The following is a 9,971-nucleotide window of genomic DNA, read 5'->3' on the forward strand; positions in this document are numbered from 1 at the left end:
TTTGAACTCATTGCAATTCTTGTCCTTATTAAAGCTCACATGGTCTAATGGGAGCCTCTTCAAACTGGCTTCTGAGTCTTTTTGACATTATCCTATTAGTCTTTGAGAGCTGCCTTGCAAGCTGGTATGTAAAGGTGATCCTGCTCTAGACTTGAAGCAAAGCATTTTGCCAAGAAGCCCTGATTGTTTTTTTTTCTTAAGAGATGGGATCTTGCTCTGTTGCCCAGGCTTTAGGACATTATAGCTCACTGCAAACTTGAACTCCTGGCTTCAAGCAATCCTCTCACCTGGGCCTCCCAAAGTGCTGGGATTACAGGCGTGCCACTGTGCCCAGCCCCCAGTTGAAACAATATTTCAAGACTACAATCCAGGCTCTGAGGATGCTACTGTCATTGGGTTAGCCTTTTTGGTGGACAAAAGTAGGAAATATAGGCTAGGCGCGGTGGCTCATGCCTGTAATCTCAGCACTTTGGGAGGCCAAGGTGGGAGGATCACCTCAAGTCAGGAGTTAGAGACCAGCCTAGTCAACATGGAGAAACCCGTCTCTACGAAAAAAATACAAAAATTAGTGGGGCGTGATGGCGTGCACCTGTAGTCCCAGCTACTTGGGAGACTGAGGCAGGAGAATCACTTGAACCCCGGGGGGGCAGAGGTTGCAGTGAGCTAAGATCGCACTGTCGCACTCCAGCCTGGGCGACTCTGTTTCAAAAAAAAAAAAAGTAGGAAATATATATGATGTAATTATTTGGGAGCTCATCTGATATGAGGAAGAAGAGGGAGAGGTTGAAACCGAGAGGCAATAAATAACTGACACATCCACTGTTTTCTGGCCTTTCTGGCCTGCGTTTCTATGGTCCCCGTTCTGCTACTTAATTTTATTCCATGGCCAGCGGTTTCTGCCGGGTCCTGTCTGCACAGAACAGGGAGCCCTGGAGGGTCTGTTTCAGGATGTAGAGAAGCTTGATCAACCCCATATGCTGCCTCAGCCCCTCCAAGCTGCCTGCGCTTGGCTGCACCCAGTTTCAGCTGCTCTTCTCAAACTCGCTGCCCAGCTTTCTCCTGAATGTCTGCTGCCTATTTTAGGATCCTCCTGTTTTCAGGTCCACCTGATGCTACCCTGGTTGCCTCCCTCTCCTTCCTCCCCCACAAGTCTTGTGACTGTCAGTGTTTTGTCCTCATTCACTCATATTTTAGGCTTTGCGGACATAGCTTGTCACCAGTTGTGTTATAAACCTTGTCCAGTGGTTTCTGGAGATGGCTAGGCTCATTCACTCAGCTGGTCATTGGGTTAGGCTGGAAGGGCCACAAAAACTTCACTCAGCTTTCCCTGTCATGCAGTAATCTGAGCTTTTTAAAAGCATGGCGGTGGCTTTCCCTGAAAGCACAAAAGCAGAAGCTTCTAGGTTTCCTAAAAGTCAGGCGGTCACTCCCACTGCCTTCTGGTACTGAGAGCAAGTGGCAAGACCAGCCCAGAGTCAAGGGCAGGGACACAGACTCCGCCTCCCAGTGGGAGGAGCCGCAGGTGCACATAGGCAGAAAGGGGTGTATAGTGTCATCTTCAGAGATGCCAGCTCAGCCTTGTCTGACCCAGAGCCCAAGCAGGTGCCATCCCTTAGGAAGCTTGCTGCAGGCCAAATGAATACTATACCTTAGCTGTTGCTAAGGGGTGGGGCGAGGGAGGGAAAGGATTCCTGGTGTGTCCACTACGGGATTCCACGTAGGTATGGAGTTTCCACCTGGGGCTATAGGGAGCACAGGGGTTGGCACAGGACTGGCAATGTGGAAAGGAATTAACTCCCATCTTTCCTCTCCACCCTTGTCTCTTGCAGGCTCTCCCAGGGCTGGCAGGGCATACGGCCCTATCGGTGGTAAGTCAAGCCGGGAGCCCTGCCAGGGAGGGCCAGATGGAGAAGGAGGAAAGCACAACTCAGCCCTGTGGCCGGCACCATAAATAATGCTCCTGGGTGTGGGTGGCAGCTCTGCAGACCCATTTGATCAGCATGGAGTGTCAGGGCCTCAGCCCTCCCTGTCTCTGGCCTGAAAGTCTTTTTTTTTTTTTTTTTTTTGAGACGGAGTCTCGCTCTGTCGCCCAGGCTGGAGTGCAGTGGCGGGATCTCAGCTCACTGCAAGCTCCGCCTCCCGGGTTCATGCCATTCTCCTGCCTCAGCCTCCCAAGTAGCTGGGACTACAGGCGCCTGCCACTACGCCTGGCTAATTTTTTGTATTTTTAGTAGAGACGGGGTTTCACCGTTTTAGCCGGGATGGTCTCGATCTCCTGACCTCGTGATCCGCCCGCCTCGGCCTCCCAAAGTGCTGGGATTACAGGCGTGAGCCACCGCGCCCGGCCTGGCCTGAAAGTCTTAATCTGCTTGGCATAATGGCTCCCTGCAGCCTGCGGTGGGAAGGCAGATAATGTGACGTATCAAGGCCACTCCAAAAGCCATTCTTTTATTCCCTCCTGGCTGGGGGGAGGTGCATGGGTGCATGTGGGGAAGAGCCATCGCCTGGGGACTTGACATTCTGATGGACCGAAGGGCAGGCATTTTCCTCTCTGATGCCTCAGCTCTTTTTCTGGGGCTGGCTAGGAGCACTGGCAAGGCTGATGCCATATGGCGGTTCCACTTCCTCAGCCATGGAACTGGATCTTTGCAAATTGGAGAGCAGGCGCTGAGCCTCACTCCTGCTGTCTTCTGTGCCTGACTGTCTCCCTTCAAGGTGGAGATTTGACTTTCTGCCTCAGGTCAAATTCCACAGGCTGTCCCTTTTATCCTTAGGAAGCAGAAACAGGGAGTTGCACCTGCCAGAACTCCCCAGATATTTTTGCTGTCAGGCTCCCAGTGAGCCAGAGCGGATCAGAGGGCGCAAAGATGAGAGAGGATGAGGGAGGAAGTCAAGAGCTCTGTGCTGCTGGCATCTTGTAGTCCCCGTTCTCCCTGTATTCGGTGTCACTGCATTTTTTTGAACAGGAAAACATTTTAGAGCTCTGATTGTCAAAGTGTAGCCTGGGTCCCATCTGAGAATCACCTGGGGGAAGCTTTAAAAAATGGCAGGTTCCTGGGCTTCTCCAAGACCTGATAAATCCTAATCCCTAGAGAAGAGGCGTGCTGGAAGCTGCATTTTAAACAAGCCCTCTGGCGATTCCTTAACCTTTCTTGTCTTTGATGGCATTAAGAAAATGAGCTCCAAAACCAAACTGCCTAGCACGCAAACCAGCCTAGAAAAGCAACTAGTGTGGCCGGGTGGCTCATGCCTATAATCCCAGCCCTTTGGGAGGCCGAGGCAGGAGGATTGCTCAAGTCCAGGAGTTTGAGCCAAACCTGGGCAACATACAGAGGTCCCTGTCTCCATTAAAAAAAATAATAAATAGGCCAAGCGCAGCGGCTCATGCCTGTAATCCCAGCACTTTGGGAGGCTGGGGCGGGCAGATCACCTGAGACTGGGAGTTTGAGACCAGCCTGACCAACATGGAGAAACCCCATCTCTACTAAAAATACAAAATTGGCTGGGCGTGGTGGCGCAAGCCTGGAATCCCAGCTACTCGGGAGGCTGAGGCAGGAGAATTGCTTGAATCCGGCAGGCAGAGGTTGTGGTGAGCCAAGATCATGCCATTGTACTCCAGCCTGAGCAACAATAGCGAAACTCCATCTCAAAATAATAATAATAATAATAATAATAATAATAATAAATAGGCCAGGCGCAGTGGCTCACGCCTGTAATTCCAACACTTTGAGAGGCCAAGACGGGCAGATCACCTGAGGTCAGGAGTTCAAGACCAGCCTGGCCTACATGGTGAAACCCCGTCTCTACTAAAAATACAAAATTAGCTGGGCATGGTGGTGCACACCTGTAATCCCAGCTACTCAGGAGGCTGAGGCAGGAGAATCACTTGAACCCAGGAGGCGGAGTTCGTAATGAGCCTCGATGGTGCCATTGCACTCCAGCCTGTGCGACAAGAGCAAAACTTCGTCTCAAGAACAAAACAAAAAAATTAATTAATTAATTAATAAGTTTTATATATATTTTAAAAAGAAAAGCAACTTGTTCTTTCTGTGTGTCAATTTTCTCATCTACACAATGGGGATGATAACAGCACTTACCCACAGTGTAGTAAGGGTTAAATGTAGATAACAATCATATATTATCATTATAATGATCAAGCACTTTGTTTTGTCCAAAGGCGGAAGGAGGAGGCCAGGAGAGGGGCTGTGCCCATCTAAGTTCTCTCATCAATGTGGTGCCAGAGTCAGAGGAGGGTCCAGACCCAGGTCAGGTGCCCAGCTCACCTGCCATGTATGCTGTCCTGGGCCTCAGTCCCTCAGAGCCCAGCCTGGACTGGGTGGTGACAATGACAAACTGCAGAAAGACACAAACTGAACTCACTTGCCTTTCCCCAGGATGTTTCCAAAGTAACCCTGCATTAGCCCATTTCCCTGGCAGACAGAGCAAGGGCTTACTTTAGGAAAGTCGGGGACACTGGCAGTGGGGCTGGAGGTGCTGTGGGTATGTTGCCTGATGTCCTGGCTACTAGGGATGGTGTCAGCAGCATGGGATGGCACTGGTACAGAAGTATATGGAGCACAGCCTTCTGGGAGGCTCCCTGGTCCTGTGGAATAACTGTACAAACAAATGCAACCTAAGGAAAGTTTAGCATAACACTAAGAACAATAACAGAACAGGTTGCCTGTGTATTATATGCCAGCTCTGTTATGGTTATAATCCCATTTTACAGATGGTGAAACTGAGACACAAAGAATTTAACCAATTCACACCAAGCCATAAAGCTGGTAAAGTGCAATAAGCCTGGGCGGCATCCTGAGGCCTGGGTTTGGTTCCATCTTTACCTTGAGTAGGGGTGCAGTGAGGTCTATTGGAATGGCCTGTGTCCAAACCCCAGCTATGTTACTCACCACCTGTGTGACCTTGGGAAAGCCACTTAGCTTCCCTGAGCCTTGGTTTCTCCATCTGTTAGATGGAAATAACCATTACCTTGCAAGGCTGATGCAAGAGTTAGAGTCTAGCAGGGTGTATTAATTTCCTACTGCTGCTACAATAATTACCACAAATTTAGTGGCTAGAAACAGCATACATTCGTTCTCCTACAGTTCTGGAGGACAGACATCCAAAATAAGTCCTACAGGGCTAAAATCAAGGCGTCAGCAGGGCTGGCTCCTTCTGACAGCTCCAGGGAAGAATCTGTTCTTTGCACTTTCTGGCTTCTACAGGCCTCTTGCATTCCTTGGGCACAGGCCACATCACTCCAATCTCTGCTTCTGTTGTCACATTGCCATACTCTCTTCTGTACTCAATCTCCCCCTGCACCCTTTATGAGGACACTTGTGATTACACTTGTGATTACACTACCCCGATAATCTGGGATAATCCCCATATCAAAATCCTTCACTTAATCACGTATGGAAAAATTTTTTACCATGCAACATAACATATTCACAGGTTCTGGGGATTCGGACATGAACATCTTTGGGGGTCACCATCTGGCCCACTGCACAGGAACTAACAAAAAGGAAGGTGAAACGGGTGGTCATTTTATATTCTAGCCTCAGGTCACTGCCAACTAGTATTGATTCTGGGCAAGGCATTTTACTTCCCTGAGTCTTGGCATCCTCCTCTGTAAAGTAGGGGCAATGATAGAGGCTGTCAAATGAGGGAACTGCAATCAGAGGTGAAGATGGCCGATGGATATTTTTTGCATGAGTTTGGGGAATGATGCTTAGACTCTGAGGTCCCTGTGCTTCTTAGTATATCCCCCTGGATGGAGGAGGGGAGGCCTCGGGAGGGAGGCTCACTCCACAGCATGGAGGAATGGGGTGGGAACAGGGTGAATCAGAGGCCCCACTTCTGGAGGTGCATCTGGAGTGGTGGACACTGTCATTGCAAGCCTGCTCCTGGTGCTTGTGATGGGAGCACAGTCAAGCACAGTGGGGTCTGATGGGTCTGGGAACTTAGCCACAGCACACCTCTGGTCTGGCTTGTTTTTTTTGTTGTTGTTTTGTCTTTTTTAGATGGAGTCTTGCTCTGTTGCCCAGGCTGGAGTGCAGTGGTGTGATCTCGGTTCACTGCAACCTCCGCCCCCTGGGTCCAAGCGATTCTCCTGCCTCAGCTTCCTGAATAGCTGGGACTACAGGCATGTGCCACCACGCCGTCTAATTTTTTGTATTTTTAGTAGAGACAGGGTTTCACCCTCTTAGCCAGAATGGTCTCTATCTCCTGAGCTCATGATCCGCCCGCCTGGGCCTCCCAAAGTGCTGGGATTACAGGCGTGAGCCACAGCACCCAGCCGCACTTCCTGATTTCAAAACTACAGGACCAGGTGTGGTGACTAGCTCATGTAATTCCAGCACTTTGGGAGGCTGAGGCAGGAGGATCACTTGAGCCCAGGAGTTTGAGACCAGCCTGGGCAACAAAGGGAGATCCTGTATCTGCAAAAATAAAAAATAAAAAAATTAGCCAGGCATGGTGGCAGGCTCCTGTGGTCCCATCTATTAGGGAGGCTGAGGTGGGAGGATTTCTTGAGCCCAGGAAATCAAGGCTGCAGTGAGCCGTGATTAGTGCCACTGCAGTCCAGCCAAGGCGACAAAGGAAACTCCATCTCAAAAATAAATAAATAAATAAAAATTAATTAAATTAAAATGCATACAATTCTCCAGGACGGTGGCTTACGCTTGTAATCCCAGTGCTTTGGGGGACCAATGGGGAGGACTTCTTGAGGCCACAAGCTTGAGACCAGCCTGGGCAACACAGGGAGACCCCGTCTCTACCAAAACTAGGGAAAAATTAGCTGGGCGTAGTGGCACACACCTGTAGTTCCAGCTACTCAGAAGGCTGAGGTAGGAGGATTGCTTGAGCCAGGGATGTTGAGGCTGAAGCGAGCCACGATGGCGCCACTGCCCTCCAGCTTGGGTGATTGAGTGAGGCCCTGTTTCAAAAAAAAAAAGTGTACGATTCAGTAGCATTTATTACACTCATCATGTTGTGCAAAAATCACCACTACCTAATTCCAGAATATTTCTATCCCCCCAAAAGGAACCCCATATTCACAGTCACTTCCCGTTCACCCCTCCCCTCAGCCCTTGGCAATTATGAATCCACTTTCTGTCTCTATGGATTTGCCTATTGACCCCATTTAAAAATATATAATTTTAATCAGATTTATTTTCATTATCAATTTTCATTGAGAAAATATTTTCTGGAGTGAATAGTATTAAACAAGATCATTCCTTAAGTAATTTTCTATAGCATGCAGTAACTTTTTTCCATTTTGATTTTTACCTTGCTGAGATTATTATCACTGGGATCAATTCTTTTCTAACAAATTTTAAAATCCCATGTGACTTATTGACTTTTTGGGGGGCCTGAGGGGAGAGTATACAGCAAGTTTCATTGTTTAAATTTCCTCTAACTGTGAGTATTTTTTGTGGCTATTATTTTTACCAGGTATCATTTCTCTAATCAAATTTTGCAGATTCAAATTTGAGATGTTTTAATTCTTTCTTCTGGACATTTTCAATTTTAATGTTTTTATTTATTTATTTATTTATTTGAGACAGAGTCTCGTGCTGTCATTCAGGCCGGAGTGCAGTGGTGCTACTTCGGCTCACTGCAACCTCCACCTCCCAGGTTCAAGCGATTCTTGTCCCTCAGCTTCCCAAGTAGCTCAAACTAGAAGTGTGTGCCACCACACACTGCTAATGTTTTGTATTTTAGTAAGACGAGGGTTCACCATATTGCCCAGGCTAGTCTTGAATTCCTGAGCTCAGAGGCAATCCACCTGCCTTGGCTTCCCAAAGTGCTGGGGTTATAGGCGTGAGCCACCGCTCCCGGCTCTTCCGGTCATTTTTATGTTGTATTGATGATTTCTTGGGAGCATTCACTGACTTCCCTCTAAAGAATATCTCCTATTATTCTCTAGCTCTCCAAACCCCTGTTATGCTTTGTAGCATTTATCACCAGCTGATGTTATTTTATATTTATTTGTTTATCTGCTTATCATCTTTCTTTCCTCCCAGTCTGTGAGCCCCATGAGGGCAGGGATTTTGTCTGTCTTGTTCATAGCCATATTCCCAGCACTTAGAACAGTGCCTGGGACACAGTGGGCTCTCAGTACATGAAAAGAATGTACTGAATTGAATGACTTGAATAGAACACTGATGGTCTGAATTTGTCCCTTGGTTGGTCCATGGGTAAAATCACGAGGAAACTTCTTAGACACACAGAGAGAAACAATGCCAGACAGAGAAGGGTCCAGGGCCCAAATGATGGGGCCAAGCCATCCTACTGCACACTGAGGATGAGGCAAGTTCCTAGGAGTTCCAGTTTTGCTGGGGAGACACAGGTAGCCAGCAGAGCAGCCTCAGCTTTTGTATTTGATTTACTGATGCTACAAAATGGTGACTTATGGCTTAAGGGCAGCAGAGAACATTGTCAGTACGACCAGAAATGGTGTTAATGGCGCTACACAGACCATCAGGGCAAAAGGAGAGACCAAAACAGACAAGGAGGCGGAGCTTTGACAACATTTGAGCCAGCACCTTACAATAGCTGTTGTTGCTGGAGGCCGACACTGAACAGCCTGGCTGGGGTCTCTGCTTTCTCTCCCACCATTTTGCCCAGTTGAACACCATTAACCAACAGAACCACAGCCAAGACCTGGGACCCACAATGAGTGATCTCATTTTTAAAAAAATTTAGGTGGCCGGGTGCGGTGGCTCATACCTGTAATCCCAGCACTTTGGGAGGCCGAGGCGGGTGGATTACGATGTTAGGAGATCGAGACCATCCTGGCCAACATGGTGAAACCCCATCTCTACTAAAAATACAAAAATTAGCTAGGTATGGTGGCGTGTGCCTGTAGTCCCAGCTACTCAGGAGGCTGAGGCAGGATAATCGCTTGAACCTGGGAGGCGGAGGTTGCAATGAGCCGAGGTCGTGCCACTGCACTCCAGCCTGGGTGATAGAGTGAGAGTCTGTCTCAAAAAAAAAAAAAAAAAATTAGGGACAAGATCTCATTATGTTACCCAGGCTGGTCTCGAACTCCTGGGCTCAAGTGATCCTCCCACCTCGGCCTCCTGAGTAACTGAGATTACGTGTGCGAGCCACCATGCCCAGTAAGTCACTTCACTTTAAAGCCTCCATTTGGGCTGTCCCTTGCTGCGTAACAAACCACCCTAAAGTTTAGTGGCATCAAACAACAATGTATGAGTATCTCTCCTGATTCTGTGGGTTGACCCAGCTCAGCTGGGTGGAGTCTCTTGTGTTTTTGCAGTTAGGTTACTGCTGGGGCTGGAGTCTCTGAAGGCCTGATGGGGCTGGAAGTCTAGGACAGCCCTCTCTCTGTCACAGCTGCTGGTTGGTGGTGGCTGTCAGAGGGCTGCTGAAAGGAGTATCCACATGAGGCAGGAAGCAGAAACTGCCAGCTGGTTAAGGGCTAGGCTGGGAACCAGCACAACATCACTCTGCCATCTTCTGTTGGTCAAAGTAGTCACAGCACCCTACTTGAAAGGGATGGAGAACAGACCCTCCTCTTTTTTTTTTTTTTTTTTTGAGACGGAGTCTCACTGTGTTGCCCAGGCTGGAGTGCAGTGGCACAATCTTGGCTCACTGAAACCTCCGCCTCCTGGGTTCAAGCGATTCTCTTGCCTCAGCCTCCCAAGTCGCTGGGATTACAGGTGCGTGCCACCACACCCGGCTTATTTTTGTATTCTTAGTAGAGACAGTGTCTTACCATGTTGACCAGCCTGGTCTCCAACTCCTGACCTCAGGTAATCCACCCACCTCGGCCTCCCAAAGTGCTGGGATTATAGGCATGAGTCACCACATCCAGCCCAAAGTGAGTTATTTTTATTTTTATTTAATCAGTTAATGAATTTATTTATTTTTGAGACCGAGTTTCACTCTTGTTGCCCAGGCTGGAGTGCAATGGCATGATCTCAGCTCACTGCAATTCCTTTGCCTCC

The 9,971-nt window shown here is 48.5% G+C and overlaps 1 annotated feature.

Moving 5' to 3' along the window:
• Nucleotides 9,504-9,553: a silencer, noted in NCBI's record as "silent region_17077". NCBI's record gives its function as "represses an Ori minimal core promoter by ATAC-STARR-seq in GM12878 lymphoblastoid cells {active_cell/tissue: GM12878}" and the evidence as "EXISTENCE:reporter gene assay evidence [ECO:0000049][PMID:35858748]".

Source organism: Homo sapiens, chromosome 6 (assembly GCF_000001405.40).
Source record: "Homo sapiens chromosome 6, GRCh38.p14 Primary Assembly".
NCBI lineage: Eukaryota > Metazoa > Chordata > Mammalia > Primates > Hominidae > Homo > Homo sapiens.